The following is a 17,812-nucleotide window of genomic DNA, read 5'->3' as shown; positions in this document are numbered from 1 at the left end:
ACTGATATCTATATCTATATCTATATCTATATACTTATATCTATATATACTGATATATATACTGATATATATATAGTGATATAGATATAGATATCAGTAAAACTACAAACTACTGTGTATATGTGTGTATATATATATACACAAATATATATACACGTGTATACATATACACAATTCAATACATTGGACAATACATATATACACGTGTATGTATGTATATACATATATACGTATATATGTGTATATATATACATATGTATATATGTACATATGTGTATACATATACGTATGTATATATGTACATATGTGTATACATATACGTATGTATATATGTGTATACATGTACCTATGTATATATGTGTATACATGTACGTATGTATATATGTGTATACATATACGTATGTATATATGTATACAGATATATATCAGTAAAAGTACATATAATTATATTTATATATTATATAATTTAAAAATATAAATCTGATTATAACATATTTAATATATAATATATAATTATATTTCAATATAAATATAAATATAAATAATATATATAATATATAATATATAAATATGTTATATATTTATATGTAATATATACATTATATATATTTCATCTTATTAATTAACAAGGAGTTCTACTTTATTTTTTGTAACTATTATAAATGGAATTGCATTGTTGATTTTATTCTCAGCTACACTTTTATTGGTGTAAAAAAATGCTACTTGTTTTTATACATGTATTTTGTATCCTGAAACTTTACTGAATTCTTTTATCAATTCTAGGGGATTCTTTTTGGAGTCTTTAGGTTTTTCAAGATATAAGATTATATAGTCAGATAACAGGAAAAAATTTCACTTCCTCTTTTCCAGTTTGGATATCTTTTATTTCTTTCTTTTGCCAGATTGCTCTGGCTAGGACTTTCAGTACTGTGTTGAATAGGAGTGGTGAAAGTGGGCATCCTTGTCTTGTTCTAGTTCTTAGAGGAAATGCTTTCAACTTTTCTCCATTCAGTGTGATATTAGATTTGGGTTTGTTGTATGTGGCCTTTATTACATTGAGATATGTTCATTTTATGCCTAGATTGTTGAGACTGTTTATCATAAAAAGATTCTAAATTTTATTAAATGCTTTTTCCTGCATCTCTTGAGATAATTATATGGTTTTGTTATTTTTGTTTATGTAATATATCACTTTTATTGATTTGTATATGTTAAACCATCCTTATATTCCTAATATAAAACCCACTTGTTTATGGCGTATTATCTTTTTGTTATGATGTTGAATTTGGTTTTCTAGTATTTTGCTGAGGAGTTTTGCATCTATGCTCTTCAGACTACTGATCTGTAGTTTTTCTGTGGTTGTTGTGTTCTTGTATGGTTTTGGTATCAGGGTGATAGTGGTGTCATGGAATGAGTTATGAAGAATTCTCTCCTCTTTGAACTTTTGGAGCAATTTCAAAAGAACTGTTTATTCTTCTTTGTGTGTATGGAAAATCCATTTAGTTCTGAGATTCCTTTGTTACAAATTATTTATTACTGATTCAATGTTGCTATTCATTATAGGTCTGCTCAAGTTCTCTATTACCTCCTGATTCAAACGGGAGGTTGCATGTTTCCAGAAATTAATTTATTTCCTCTAGGTTTTCTTGTTTGTGGAAGTAGAGTTCTTAATAATAATTTTTAAGAATGTTTGTATTTCTGTGATGTGATTTATAATTTCTTCTTTTGCTTTTCCGATTTTGTTGTAATCTCTCTTTTTTCATTTCTGATTTTGTTGTAATCTCTCTTTTTTTCATGATTAATCTGGATAGTGGATTATTTTGTTTACCTTTTTTAAGAACCAACACTTCCTGTTTCAGTGACCCTTTGTACTTCTACCTTTCCTTTTTGGTCTCTATTTTACTTAGTTCTACTAGAATTTTTTTTTTTAACTCATTTTCTTCTGCCACTTTTCGGTTTAGTTTGTTCTTGTGTTTCTAGTTCATGGCAGTCCATCATTAGGTTGTTAATTTGTAATGTTCCTACTTTTTTAGTATAGGCATTTAATACTATGAACATCCCTTTGGGAACTCCTTTTTCTTTATCCCACAGAATTTGATGTGTTGTGTTTTCCTTTTCATTTGTTTCAAAAATTGCTATAATTTCCACCTTAATTTCTTCATTGACACAATAATCATTAAGGAACATGTTTGATTTCCATGTATTTGTATAGTTTCCAAAGTTCCCAAAAGTAGTGATATTCAGTTTTATTCAAGCGTGGTCTGAGAAGATTCTTGATATGTTTTTAATGTTAAAAAATTCATTGAGACTTGTTTTGTGGCCTAAAATACAAGGTCTATACAAGGTCATACATGGTCTATCTTGGAGAATGTTCCATGTGCTTATGTGAAAAAAATGTACATTTCACAGTTGTTGAGTAGACTTTTCTGTCAAAGTGTGTTAGGTCTATTGCACCTAAAGTCCAAATAAGTTCAATATTTCTTTGTTGATTTCCCGTCTTAATGATGTCTAATGCTGTGAGTGCGCAGTTGAAGTCTCACACTATTATTGTATTATTTTCCACCTCTCTCTTTAGATGTAGTAATATTTGTTTTATGAATCTGGTTGCTCCAGTATTGAGTGTATATATACTGAGTAATGTTATATCCTCCTGTTGCATTGATCCTTTTATCATTATACAATGACCTTATTTGTCTTTTTTAACTTTTTAATTTAATATCTGCTATATCTAGTATAGGTAAAGCTATTCCTACTCTCTTTTAGTTTCTATTTCCATAAAATATCTTTTTTCAACCCTTTTCTCTCAGTCTATGTATGTATTTACAGAGAAGGTGAATTTCTTGGAAGCAGCATTTAGATGGATCATGTTTCTTATATTTTCTGCCAATCTATCTCTCTTTAGAAGAGTACTTAATCCATTTGAGTTCAAGGTTAACATTTATACATGAGGTTTATTTTCTGTCAGGTCACTAAATCTTTTCAGTTGTTTTATACATTGTTTCTTTTTCTCTGTTTGTCTTTATGGTTTGGTGAAATTTTGTTGTGTTAACAACTTGACTTTTCTTCCTTCTTTATGTGATTGTTTTATAATATCATTGAGTTTTATATGTTAATGAGTTATCATAATCATGAACATATACCTTTTATTTCCATGTCAAGGACATTTTTGAGCATTTGTTTTAAGTCTGCTCTAGTGGTGATAAATTCCCTCAGCAATTGCTTGTCTGGAAAAGACTTTATTTCTCCTTCATTTATGAAGCTTAATCATGCTGGATATAAACATTTTTATTGTATTTTTTTCTTTCAGCAATTTGTAAATCCCATTCCATTTTCTTCTGACCTGCGAAGTTTCTGCTAAGAAGCTCATTCTTAGTCTGATGGGGTTTCTTTCATAGGTGACTAGATGCATTTTTCTTGCTGATCATAGAAGTATTTCTTTTATGTTGACTTTAGATATACTGATTTAATATGCCTTTTGCAATGTATTTGTCTTGGATTGCTGGGACTACTGTATCTGGATGTCTAAATCTCTTGCTACACTTGAGATGCTTCCATAAATAATTTTCTTAAATAGGATTTCTAAACTTATTTTTTATCTTTCTTTCTACCTCAGTAATACCAACAAATTGTAAGTATTGTTATTTTTGCACACTCATCTTAAGGGCTTTGTTCATTTGTCTTTATTTTTGTTTGATTGGATTACTTCAAAAGATGTGTCTTCATATTTCGAGAGTCTTCCTTCTGCTTGGTCTTTGGAATGTTTTTGTAACCCCTTCAATGAATTTATAAGTTCCAAAATTTCTGTTACTATTACATTTTTTTAGAAAATCTACCTTCTTAGTAAATTTCATATTAACAGCCTAAGTTGATATTCTAATATATTTGTATTGCTTTACAAATTTCCATTTAAGGTCCAGGTGTGGTGGCTCGTGCCTGTAATCCCAGCACTTTAGGGGTCAGCATGATTGGATCACCTGAGGTCAGGAGTTTGAGACTAGCCTGGCCAAAAATGGTGAAACCCCATCTCTACTAAAAATACAAAAATTAGCCAAGTGTTGTGGCGTGTGCTTGTAGCCCCAGCTATTCAGGAGGCTGAGGCAGGAAAACAAGGGAAGCAGAGGTTGCAGTAGGCCAAGATTGCACCACTGCAATCTAGCCTAGGCAACAGAGTGAGACTCTGTCTCAAAAAAAAAAAAAAAAAAATCAATTTAATTTCATTAAGCCTTTTTTAAAGTCAATATTTTGATTTCCTTATCTGGCATTTTGAAGATTTCTTTTGCACAGAGTCTATTGCTGAAGAATTATTGTTTTAATTTGAGAGTGTTATAGTACATTTCTTTTTCAGGCTTTCTGCATCTATACGTTGATTTCTGAGCAACCAGGGGAATAGGGGATTGTTCTTATTTTTGAATTTACTTTCATTGAATGTGGAATTTTGTTCTTGAAGATATGACTATGATAATAACTACAACCATTTTTTAAGAGATAGTATAAAAAGAAATAAATGTTATAGTGCAAATGCACAAGAAACTGCAAGAGAAGTGGGGATGATTATTGAGTATAAAAAGAGAAGAAATAAGGTCTAGTGTTTGATAGCACAATTGGGTGACTATAGTTTAAAGTACTTTGTTGTATATTATAAAACAAGAGAGTGGAATTGGAAAGTTACACCACAAAGAAATAATAAATGTTTAAACTGTTGGATACTTCAGTTACAGATTTCATAACTACACATTGTATGTATGTGTCATAACATCTTATATATCCCATAAATACATACAACTATTATGTAGTCACAAAATTTAAAAATTTTAAATTAGGTTTGTAATTAAAAAAGAGCTACATTAACATAAAAAGTATGGGTTAGAAAATGGCCACATCCCTTTTCTACCTATTTTAAGTGATTATTAATGAGCAACATGGTAAAGTGGTTATGACCACCAGCTCTAAATCTGGCATCATAATCCCAGCTCTAAATCTGGTATCATAAAAAAGTAAGAGGAGAGCAGATTTTTCCCCCCTCTTTTTCTTTCCAGATTTGTAATTACAGGACCAGTTTTGACAGTCAGCATGTATGTTAACAGTTTATCCAAATTATAAGACAGTGTCTTCTGGAAGTGAACTGAAAATAAACTTTTTGTTTTTGATTTCAGCTTTAGTTTTGATCTAAAGTTCTGATTATAAACTTTCATCTCAGAGCCAAACCTCCTCCCCTTGTGAATTTGTATAAACGTTTTGTTCTGAGAGATTTCCAAAGTGTTTCTGCAAAGAAAACTGGGTATTTGAAAAAATTTTAAAAGTGACTTTTTTTTTTTTTAAGGTAGAGAGGGTCGTGTGAGTTCTGCCTTATGGAAGGGCTATTGTATGTGAGATATCTTATAAAAAATATTGTTAATCCACAAAATAAAGCTGTAAAATGGGTATCAATAGCTTAATTTTACGTATGAGTAAACTGCAGAATAGCTAAGTAACTTGCCCAAGATAACAAAACTAGGAGGTAGCCTGCACTTCAAATTTGGATGTGTCATGCTCTAACACAAATATTCCCATTGGCAGAAAACATTCCTATATTCACAAAAGTTAAATTCTCCAGAATGTTGAATTTATCTTATAGTTCTCAAAGTGTTCATATTAAAAGTCTTCAGCAAGCCTGAAAAAACCTGGCATAAGGGAAGCTTCTTTCACAAGTACCTGTATCAGCTTCTAATCATAGCAGATATGAAAAGGAAGGGAAAAATAAACAGGAGATGGGCAGATAGCTCTGTACATGTATTTTTAAAACATCTCAGGGGGAAGGTAAAGGTGGAACTTGACAACTGAAGTTACCTAATCACTTAAGGCTTTATTGAAACCTACATGTTCTGAGTACCTAGCATACAACATACTAAGATTAGCTTCATTCCCCTGTGTCCTTGTTCTTGCCGTGGTTTCCCCTCTGCCTGGCATAATCTTTATCTCTTCTCTACCTGGTTAAGGTTTCCAAATCATTCAAGATTTGGGAGACTGCAATTCCTCCATCAAGAAGCCTTCACTGATTTCCATATAGGAATGGGCACACTCTCTGTGAATAGCATATATGCCTATTCCGTATAGGCATTCACCAAACTGTGCTTTCTTTAAATATTTTACTATTTTACTTATTTTTTTCATGAGTTTCTTTTCTCTACACCTCTAACATATGGACCACAATAGAAGCTCAATAAATGTTTACACAAAGAAAAAAGTAAGTAAAGAAAGAGGTAAAAATACCTTCCCATCATGTCCCTTTGCTGACATCATTGCGATCCACAACTGAAAAGAGTACTTCATTTTCTTCAGTTTAACATGTTGAACTGAGGCTCCTAGAATAGTTTCAAGGTGAACCACAACCTTATAAAAGAAAGATATAAAAACAGACAAACATGATGAGAAGAGGAGATACTACTGAAGAGTGACATCAGCAAGATGGCAGAGCAGAAAGCGCCAGGCCCTCATTGCCCCATGGAAACACCAAAAAAAACAAAAAAACAAAAAAACAAAAAAACAAAAACAAAACAAAACACCCCAAAATATATAGAGCAAAGTAGTTTTGTGAGAACTCTTGAAACAAGCTAAGAAGCTGAAGCAACCAAGGAAATGCTAGAAAATTTCATGTCATTTCTGCTTGCCCTTGTCCCACTCCCTCTCTAACACAGCACTGAGTGTCTGAAAGAATCCATCAAATTATTGGTTCCTCCATTGGAATGAAAGAATATGAATGGAACTTGCTTGTAAAGTTCTAGCTTCTCTGGGGACAGTCTGAGGGACTGTTGTGTCTTTTCTGACTTGGAATACTAACTGGAATGATAGCATAGTTTAGACTGTAGGCTGGAAAATGCTTAGAGCAGTGGTGGAAGCTATTGCACAAATGGATTGCTGGGTTACTGCAGATATCTGGGTACCTGTGAGCAAGAGATTACATGCAGCGAAATAAAATACAACTTAAGCTCTGAGAAGAAGCAGAAGTAAGACACTGCTGATCATTGTTAGGACCCACCATACCACCCTTCTTTGCTTCTAGACCTATAACTAGACTCAAGTCTTGTCAGGTCATGTTTATTTTTCTAATTTATATAGACATAAATCCAGGGAATACGTATGACAATGGATATTAAAAGTATGGATAATTGTGGAAGAAACACAAACCTGAAACAGGCCAAATGTATTGATATGAGCCCAAGAAGGAGAGAGTCTCGATTTAGTGTTGCAGCTCAGTGTGTCAGAAAATACTCTAAAAAAAGTTTAGAAACACATAGACCAAAAGGTGTCCTACACTAAATGAAGTTGAAATTCCAGTCCTGCCTTGACATACTGTAGAGGAAAGAATCCAAATTCTTAGCGACATTTATCATTTAAGATCTTCTCCCCGACCTTGGGAGAGTACTGAGAACAATTCTTAGCCACAATTACGAGAAATAAATTTTTGTGGGAACCCTATCGTCTTTGAAGATCACTTTTCTCTGTAGGTCAGAAATTACATGGATTGATACCATTAAACTAAAAAAAATAAATTTAATAGAAATAATTGGATTCCCAAGTGGCAGGGGAAAAGTGGCAGCACTTAACTGACAAAAACTACATAAGCAGAAGAGTCAAAGCAGCAATCAGAATAATCTGACTGATGCAGACCTATGACATTGTTAGTTAATCATGTTTCTAGTAGTGAGACAGATAATAATTCCATTATATTCTTACTAAATCTGTATAAGCAGAGGAGTCCTAGGTCAATTGAACAAAATTCTAGCTTGTAACATAAAACAGAGTCATGGCCCTTCAATCAATTCCCAGGCTTGAGCCAGTTTACAGACTCACAACCCTTGAATGAAGGGAAGAATGGGTCCCCTGGAAGAAGCATCCCACCACACGCCCAACAACATATAATGTCAATCTTTCTCACAGCTTTCCCCAAAATAAATTATGGCATGGAAGAATTAGGGAAAAATAATCAGAAGTTTTGGAGAATATTGGACACAGGTCCTGAACTGATACTAATGCCAGGAGACCTAAAATGACACTATAGTCTACAATCAGAATAGTGGCTTATGGAGGTCAGGTGAACAATAGAGGTGTTTTTGTTTTTGTTTTAATATTTATAATTTAGGAGAAAGTAGTTTTGTTACATGGATATATTGCATAATGGTGAAGTCTGGGGTTTCAGTGTAGCCATCAACCTAATAATGTACATTGTATCCGCTAAGTAATTGTTCATCCTTCACCCCCTCTGATCCCTCCCATCCTTTTGAGTCTCCAGTGTCTATTATTTTACTCCTTATGTCCAGTTCTATACATTATTTAGCTCTCACTTATAAGTGAAAATATGTGGTATTTGCCTTTCTGTTTCCAAACCATTCACTTAAGACAATGGCCTCCAGTTCCATTGATGTTGCTGGAAAAAAAAAAATGACTTTATTCTCTTTTTTAATGGCTGAATACAATCCATTGTATATATACACCACATTTTCTTTATCCGATAATCCATTGATTGACAGTTTAGTTGATTCTATATCTTTTCTATTGTGAATAATGCTGGTATAAACACATGAGTGTAGATATCCTTTTGTATAAAATTTATTTCCCTTTGGTAGATAACCAGTAGTGGAATTATTGCATAGAATGGTAGTTCTATTTTTAATTCTTTGAGAACCCTATGTATTGTATTAATTACAAGTTATATTCATTAATATTTCTACTAAAGCTTATGAGTGCTTCCTTTTTTCTCCATACTTGCCAATATCTGTTATTTTTTGACTTCTTAGTAATAGCTACTGTGGTGTAATACAATAGCTAATCGAAATTTTAATTTGCATTTCATTGATTAATAATGTTAAGCAGTTTTTTATGTGTTTGTTGGCCATTTGTATGTCTTCTTTTGAAAAAGTCTGTTTATGCCATTTGCCTACATTTTAGCAGAATTTTTTTTTTTTTTTTTTGAGATGGAATCTCACTCTATGGCCCAGGCTGGAGTGTAGTGGCGTCATCTGGGCTCACTGCAAGCTCCACCTCCCAGGTTCACGCCATTCTCCTGCCTCAGCCTCCCAAGTAGCTGGGACTACAGGCACCCGCCACCACGCCCAGCTAATTTTTTTTTTGTATTTTTAGTAGAGATGGGGTTTCACCGTGTTGGCCACGGTGGTCTCGATCTCCTGACCTCGTGATCCGCCCACCTCGGCCTCCCAAAGTGCTGGGATTACAGGCGTGAGCCACTGCACCTGGCCTTGGCAGAATTATTTGTTGTTGTTGAGATGTCTGAGTTCTTTGTGGAACCTAGTTATTAATATTTTATTGGATGTATTGTTTGTAAATAGTTTATTCCATTCTGCACGTTGTCTGTTTATTTTGTTGATAATTTCTTTTGTTGTAAAGAAGCACTTTAGTTTAAGTCCCATTTGTCTATTTTTGGTATTGTGCATTTGTTTTTAAGGTCTTTGTCATGATGTCTTTGCCAAAAATGATGTTCAGAATAGTTTTCCCTGTTTTCTTCCTGTATTTTTATAGTTTTGGTCTTACACTTAAGCCTTTAATACATTTGTGATAATTTTTGCATATGGTGAGAGATACAGGTCCATATTTATTCTTCTGTGTATGGCCACCTAATTTTCCAAGAACCCTTTTTGAATAGGATGTTGTTTTCACAGCCTATCTTTTGTTGACTTTATCGAAGACCAGTTGGCTGTAGTTATGTGGCTTAATTTCTGGGTTCTCTCTTCTATTCTTTTGATCTATGTGTCTATTTTTATACCAATACCATGCTGTTGTAGTTTCTATGGCTTTGTAATATAATTTGAAATTAGGTAATGTGATGCATCCGACTTAGTTCCTTTTGCATAGGATTGTTTTGGCTATGCAAGCTCTTTTGTGGTTCCATATGAATTTGGTGATTTTTTTCTAATTCTGTGCAAAATTACATTGGTATTTTGATGAGAATTGAAATGAATCTGTAGATTGCTTTAGATAATATAGACATTTTAATGATATTCATTCCTCTTATTCAAGAGCATAAGATTTTTTCAATTTATTTTTGTCATCTCAAATTCCTTTAATCAGTGTTTGATAGTTTTCCTTGTAGGTATTTTTCACTTCCTTGGTTAAATGCATTCCAGATATTTTATTTTTACAGCTATTGTAAATGCTAACAAACTGACAACTTGATTTGGTTCTAAGCTTGATTATTACTGGTAAATAGTAATTTTTGTACATAGATTTTGTATCCTGAAACTTTACTGAATTCATTTATCAAATCTAGGAGTCTTTGGGGTAGAGTCTTTAAAGTTTTCTATGTATAAGGTCATATTATCAGCAAACAGAAATAATTTGACTTCTTTTTAAATTCAGAGGGCTTTTATTTCTTTCTCTTGCCTGACTGCCCTGGCTACAATTGCCAGTATTACGTTGAAAAGGAGCAGTGAAAATGGGCATTTTTGTCTTGTTTCAGTTTTTAGAAAGAATGCTTTCAACTTTTCCCCATTCAGTATAAGGCTGGCTATGGGCTTCTTATATACGGTTTTTATCACTTTGAGGTACGTTCCTTCTATGCCTAGTTTTTAAAGAGTTTTTATAATAAAGTTATGCTGAATTCTATTAATTTTTTTCTGCATCTATGGAGATGATCATATGGCTTTTGCTTTTAATTCTGTTTATGTGGTGAATTACTTTTATTGATTTGTGTATGTTGAACCATCCTTTCATCTCTGGGTTAAAACCAACTTGATCATGATGTATTATCCTTTTGATGTGGTGTTGGATTCAGTTAGTTAAAATTTTGTTGAGGATTTTCACATCTATGTTTATCTGGGATATTGGTTTGTAGATTTCTTTTCTCTTCTATTTTCATATGTTTATATGTGGCTTTGTTAATAAGGTGATACTGGCATCATAGAATGAGATAGAAATAATCCCTTCCATATTGATTTTTTTTTTAAATTGTTTCAGTAGGACTGGAATAAGTTCTGCTTTGCACATTGGGTAGAATTGAGCTGTAAATCCATTTGGTCCTGGGCCTTTCTTTGTTGGGAAGTTTTTTAATATTATTATTACTCAATCTCAGTACTCATTTCTGATCTGCTCATGATTTCTATTTTTTTCCGTTTCAATCTTAGGAGGTCGTATGTTTCCAGAAATTTATCCATTTCCTCTAGTTTTTCTTGCTTATTAGCATAGAGTTGTTCATGCTACTCTCTAGTTATCTTATTTTTGTGATATCAGTTATAATGCCTCCTTTTTCATTTCCAATTGTGTTTATCTGAATCATCTCTCTTCTTCTCATGGTTATTCTAGAGAGAGTTCTGTCAATTTTCATTATTTTTTTAAATAAACTTCATTTCATTGCTTTTTAATATTGTTTATTTGCTCTAAATTTCATTTAGTTTTGCTCTGATGTTTGTTATTTTTCTTCTATTAGATTTGGGTTTGGTTTGTTCATATTTTCTGGTTCATTGAGTTGTGATGGTAGATTGTTAATTTGTAGTCTTTTTATTACTTTGATGTAGGCATTTAACATTATAAACTTCCATGTAAATACCAGTTCTGCTGTATTACAAAGGTTTAGGTATGTTTTGTTTCCATTTTCATTTGTTTCAAATATTATTTAATTTATGTCTACATTTTTTCATTGACTCAAAGATTATGCAGGAACATGTTGTTTAATTTCCATGTATTTTTACAGTTCAAGGGTTCCTTTTGGAATTGATTTCTAGTTTTATTCCACTGTGGTCTGAAAAGATATTTTTTATAAGTTTGATTTCTTAAAACTTATTGAGGCTTGTTTTGTGGCCTAAAATATGGTCTATCCTGGAGAATTTTCCATGAGCCGATTGGAGGAATTCTAAATTTGTTGAGTATGTTCTTTAAATGTCTATTAGGTCTACTTGGTCTAACGTCCAGTTTAACTCTTGCATTTGTTTTTCCTTTTTCTGGCTTGATAATCTGTGTAGTGCTGTCACTGGAGTGTTGAAGTCTCCAGCTATTATTGTATTGCTATATCTTTCCTTAGTTCTAGTAATATTTGTTTTATGATTCTGGGTGCATATATACTTAGGATTTATTACATCTTCTTGTTGAATTGATCCATTTATCATTATATACTGACCTTTTTTTACTGTTCTTGATTTAAAGCCAGTTTTAACTGACATAGGTATAAAATCAATATGGAAGGGATTATTTCTATCTCATTCTATGATGTCAGTATCACCTTATTACAAAAGCCAGTTATAAACATATGAAACACATGATACTCTTGCTTACTTTTGGTGTCTGTTTGCACAGAACATCTGTCTTCACCCATTACCTTCAGTCTATAATTGTATTTATGAGTAAGGTGAGTCTTTTTCAAGAATAAAATAATAGATCATGTTTTTAACATCTATTCTGCCAATTGTGTCTTTTAAGTGGAGTATTTAATTCATTCACACATTCAAGGCTGATATTGATGTGTCACGTTTTGTTCCTGTCATAATCTTAATTGTTATCTAGTTTTTTCGTATATTCTTTGGCCTGTGAGTTTTATACTATTGTGTGCTCTTATGATGGAGAGTATTGACTTTTTTATCCTTATTTAGAACTCTGTCAGCATTTCCTGTAGAACGAGTATAGTCATGATAAATTCACTCAGCATTTGTTCATCTAGAAAATACTTCATTTCTTCATTTATAAACATTAGAGCAGGATTCAAAATTCGTATTTAAAAGTGTTTTTTTCATGAAGAACTCTAGAAATAGAACTTCAATTTCTTCAGGCTTATAAAGTTTCTGTTGAGAAGTCTGCTGTTTATGTGATGGGCTTTCCTTTATAGGTGACTCAAAACGTTTCTGTTGCTAATTTTAGGATTTTTTCCTTCACTTCAATTGTAGTCTGGTTATTATATGCCATGGTAAGTACTTTCTTGCAATAATTTTTCCAGAATTCCTTGAGTCTCTTGTATCTGGATATCTAGACCTTTTACTAGACTAGGGAAGCTTTTCTCAACTATTTCCTCGAATAGATTTTGCAATCTTGTTGTGTTTTTTATTCTCTCTTGGGAATACCTACGATTCATAGGTTTGGAGATTTTACATAGTTCCAAACTTTTTGAAGGCTTTTTTTGAAACTATTTCTTTTTTTGTCAGAGTGGATTAATTTGAAAGACCTATCTTCAAGTTCTGAGATTCTTTATTCTACCTGGCCTAGTCTACTGTTGAAGGTTTTAATTGTATGTTGTAATTCCTTTCTAATTTTTTATTTTCAGATTTTTTTGTTTTTTAATATCTATCTTTTTGGTAAATTTCTCACTTATATCCTTAATTGATTTTTTATTTCTTTGTATTGCTTTTCAGCTTTCTCTTTGATTTCATTGAGTATCTTTAAAATTAATGTTTTGAATTCTTTACGTGGTATTTCAAAAATTTCATTTTGATTAGGATCCATTGCTACCAAGTTGGTGTGCTTGTTTGGGAATGTCATAACACCCACATTTTTTCATATTTCCAGAATTGTTACACTGCTTTCTCCTCATCTGGAGATATTTTCTCTTGTTATTTTTAAATTTACTTTTGCTTATAAAGGCCATATTTATTCCCTTTGGAGATATGACTATAATGTTTGTTGAGTAGGGTTGTTTGGCTTTGCTTCTAAGTGTTTTTAGTGGTAAGCACTCTATAAGAATTCCTTGGTTATAGACAGTTTTAATGTGTTTCTCAAATGCTGGTTGTAGTAGCAGTGTACTGAATATGTGAATAGGCTTATGTTCTCCTGTGTCTCTGGGGTGGCAGAGGTCTTGGGAAGTTTATCTGGGACTGGTTCCCAGATATTTTTCTCTATACCTCAAGCTTGTGTCAGCTGATTTTATATTGGGTTGCTTAGTTCAAACTTCAGGGCTGTAGGTGTTGCTTACAGGTAAGAGCCAGCCAGCTGTGGCAGAAGCAGTAGGGGTCTTTGTTTACACGGAGAAGATCTCCTGTGCCTCAAGCAATGGAGTAGTCTGTGAAATGCCCAGTGGCCTGGGTTCTATGCTCAGCCCCAGAGATGGGGTAATGCTGTGCAGAATTTGAAGAGGCAAACCTGTCCTCACGTCCTTCAGTGGTGGACACCAAAAAAAGGACTGACTGGAGTAGCAGGGGAGTAGTGTAGAATTTGTTTAATTTTCTTAGTCATAAATAGCCTCAGTGTGGTGGCTTTCTCAAATGCCAATTGTAGTCTTAATGTACCAGGTGGGTAAGTGGGTTCAAGACCTACTGAGTAGCTGGGGTTGTGTGGGCAATGAAGGCAGCAGATGTCACACAGATCATATCTCCTTTCTGAGTGCTATGCTATTGTGTCGGCCGATGTTGTAATGGACTATGCAGTTTGTCCTCCTGTTCATTAGGTGGTACTTTCAGGTGAGAGCCAGCTGTGGTCGTGGCTGTGGGGTTCAAGCTTGAGCTTTGTTTACCAGGATAAATACTCAGATATCTCAGAAAATGGGCTAGGCTATAGAGCTCCCTGGGGGCGTGGTCCTGTTGTCTGTATCCAAGGCAGGTGAAAGGGGCAAAGCTGAGTGGGACTGGGCTAGGCAAGTCCATGCTTAGGCTCCCCAATGGCACGCACAAGCACCAGCCCAGACAGGAGTTAGATAGCAATTCTAACACCACTGGGGCAATGCTCCAGGAAGGAGTGAAGGAACCTCTGCTGTGCCAAAGAGCATGCATGAAGAAAGGGGCAGCTTTGAATTCAAACCCTAGCATGTGGCAGTGGGTCCCACATTGCTTCCACACTCTCAACCTGGTGGAGCTCTCTCCTGCAACCTACCATTGGCAGCAAGCTAAAACAGCCAGACGAGACACAAACAGTTTGCCTTCAGATCATTAAATTGTCCCAGGCTGCCGAACTCCCTGATTGGAACAAAACTGAGGCTCCCAGGCCACATCCATGCTGGTCTAGTCCTGCCAAGGGAAGAGCTCCCAATTTCTGCACCTGCAGCTCATGCCCATGCCACACTCACCTCTCAGTTCTGTCCATGAAGTCTCCTTCCCCACATGAGACTAGATTGCAAATCTCAGTCCAGAGACTTGCCAAACCGGAGACTTTCACCCATTCTGGATAGTAGATTTCCGTGCAGTTCTCTATGAGTTAGGATTAGAAATGTCCTCCTTCTATTAGTGGTAGAGTATAGAAGTGCACACAAAGCACTTCCCAATGCCACTCCTCATAGCCTCCTCACGGCTCACCAAGTCAGATCCTGTGCTTGGTAGGATCAAGGAGCTCCCTCGTGGCCTGGATTTCCCAGTTCCCCAATGAAAATATGTATCAGAGAGAAATTCTCTCCCCCTCTTACACACTGGTGACTCACTCACAAATTTCCATTGGACCCACCCATAGCATGGGCTGCTGCTGGCTAAAATTTTTAAAGTTTCTGAAGTTTATTTCACTTTTATGTCCAGCTCTCATGTTCCTTCTTGGATAAAATTTTACAGTGTGACTCTCTACCTGCTATTTTGCTATTTTCAGGTGGGTGTGGTGTGATAACAAAGCCTCTAATCCATAATCATTTCCAGCCTCCCAGAGTGTCCTTGTGTCCTCCCTGCAAATCTTTTATCACCTGTAGGCCACAGAGGGACAGAGGCAATGGCATAGACACCTGGGCCTCCTGGAGCAGAAGAGAAGGAACAATGGAGTGAACCTGAGCTCAGTGGACAGGCAGAAGAGACAAAATCTCTGTCAGACCATCAGATCATAGGTTTAGCTGACATTCATTTCACAGCGTGTACAGTGAGTCCATGAAACCATCTTGCGATTATTTCCTCAGCTCTGCAGTGCATAATTTGAATAGATATACTCAGCAACTGGCAGAATTCCCACATCACTTCCCTGACCTATGGAGTGAGTGCTGTTGTCATGGTAGAGGATAAATAGAAGCAACTAAAACTGCTCCTATCTAGGAAAATAGTAAACCAAAATCAGTACTGCCTTCCTGGAGGGATTGCAAAGACCAGTTCCATCAAGAACTTAAAGGATGCAGGGGTGGTAATTCCCATCACATCCCCATTTAACTCACATATCTCCTATTTGGCCTGTGCAGAAAACAGATGGATCCTGGAGAATGACAATGGATTATTGTGAGCTTGATGAGATGATAACTCCAAACAGCTGTTGTGCCAAATGTGGGTTCACTGCTAGAGCAAATTAACACATCCCCTGGTATCTGGTAGAGAGCTATTGACTAAAAGAATGTTTTTTTTTTCCTATGTCTGTTAGTAAAGACAGCCGGAAGCAGTTTGTTTCAGCTAACAAAGCAAGCAATACAATATCGTACCTCAGGAGCAGGACTCTTCAGCTCCTTGCAATAATTTAGTTTGTAGGACTTTGCCTTTTCCTTACACAAGGCATTGCACTGGTCCATTAAATCAGCAACATAATTCTCATTGGATTTAGTAGGTAAGAAGTAGCAACTACTCTAGACTTATTGGGAAAACATTGCTTTATTTCCCCATCATAATGCCTCTTCTAATCAAGGAACTCATTTCACAGCAAATGAAGTGTGTCAATGGACCCACGCTCAACAAATTCACTATTACCACATTTTCACTCCTACGGACTGGATTGTGTCCCTTCTTTCACCAAATTTATATGTCGCAACCCTAACCCTTAATGTGACTGTATCTAGAGATAATCTTTAAGATTTAATGAGATCATAAGAGTGAGGCTTTAATATGATAGGACTGTGGCCTTATAAGAAGAAGATAGAGGTATTTATTCTATTTCCCTGAGCCTTGTGAGAAGGTGGCCATCTGTAAGCCAGGAAGAGAGCCTTCACCAAAACCTGACCATACTGGCACCGTGATATCAGATTCCTACCCTCTAAAACTATGAAAAAATAAATTTCTGTTGCTTAAATAACCCAGTCTATGGTATTATGTTATGGGTCACTGCAACCGCCACCTCTTGGGTTCAAGCAACTCTCCGGTCTCACCCACCTGAGTAGCTGAGTAGCTGGGATTACAGGCGCACACCACCACACCTGGATAATTTTCGTATTTTTAGAAGAGACGGGGTATCACCATGTTGGTTAGGCTGGTCTCAGACTCCTGATCTTGTGATCCGCCTGCCTTGGCCTCCCAAAGTGCTGGGATTAAAGGTGTGGGCCACTTCACCCGGCCAAAAACACCTTTGTGGCTTCTTGATAATAGTTTTCACTCATGTGTTGGAGCTAAAATGTTAATCTTATGAAGGTAATGAATAGAATGTTGATTACCAGAGGCTGGGAAGAGTACTGGGAAGGGGAAATAATGCAGGTTGATTACTGTGAACAAAAATAAACAAAACCAAAGACAAAAACCACATAATTATCTCAATAGATGCAGAAAAGGCCTTTGACAAAATTCAACAACCCTTCATGCTAAAAACTCTCAATGAATTAGGTACTGATGGGACGTATCTCAAAATAATAAGAGCTATCTATGACAAACCAATAGCCAATATCACACTGAATGGGCAAAAACTGGAAGCATTCCCTTTGAAAACTGGCACAAGACAGGGATGCTCTCTCTCACCACTCCTATTCAACATAGTGTTGGAAGTTCTGGCCAGGGCAATTAGGCAGGAGAAGGAAATAAAGGGTATTCAATTAGGAAAAGAGGAAGTCAAATTGTCCCTGTTTGCAGATGACATGATTGTATATCTAGAAAACCACATTGTCTCAGCCCAAAATCTCCTTAAGCTGATAAGCAACTTCAGCAAAGTCTCAGGATACAAAATCAATGTACAAAAATCACAAGCATTCTTATACACCAATAACAGACAAACAGAGAGCCAAATCATCAGTGAACACCCATTCACAATTACTTCA

At 35.0% G+C, this 17,812-nt stretch overlaps 1 protein-coding gene across 14 annotated transcripts in view; it reads right to left on the bottom strand.

The window, feature by feature from the left end:
- Positions 1–17,812, bottom strand: part of FAAH2 (fatty acid amide hydrolase 2) — a 367,606-nt gene that overhangs the window by 50,910 nt on the left and 298,884 nt on the right. For 8 of the 14 annotated variants that reach the window (NR_148564.2, NR_148557.2, XM_011530767.4 and 5 more), the window contains one exon: positions 6,250–6,369. The exons of the other annotated variants lie outside the window; for them this stretch is intronic. Coding sequence is in view for 6 of the 8 variants with exons in the window: in XM_011530767.4 (XP_011529069.1) it covers positions 6,250–6,369 (120 nt within the window). In the remaining 2 variants the exon portion in view is untranslated. The remainder of the gene's footprint in view (positions 1–6,249; positions 6,370–17,812) is intronic. 14 annotated transcript variants of the gene reach the window in all.

This window comes from Homo sapiens, chromosome X (assembly GCF_000001405.40).
Source record: "Homo sapiens chromosome X, GRCh38.p14 Primary Assembly".
NCBI classification, from domain to species: domain Eukaryota; kingdom Metazoa; phylum Chordata; class Mammalia; order Primates; family Hominidae; genus Homo; species Homo sapiens.
This window is presented reverse-complemented; position numbering and strand designations above follow the sequence as displayed.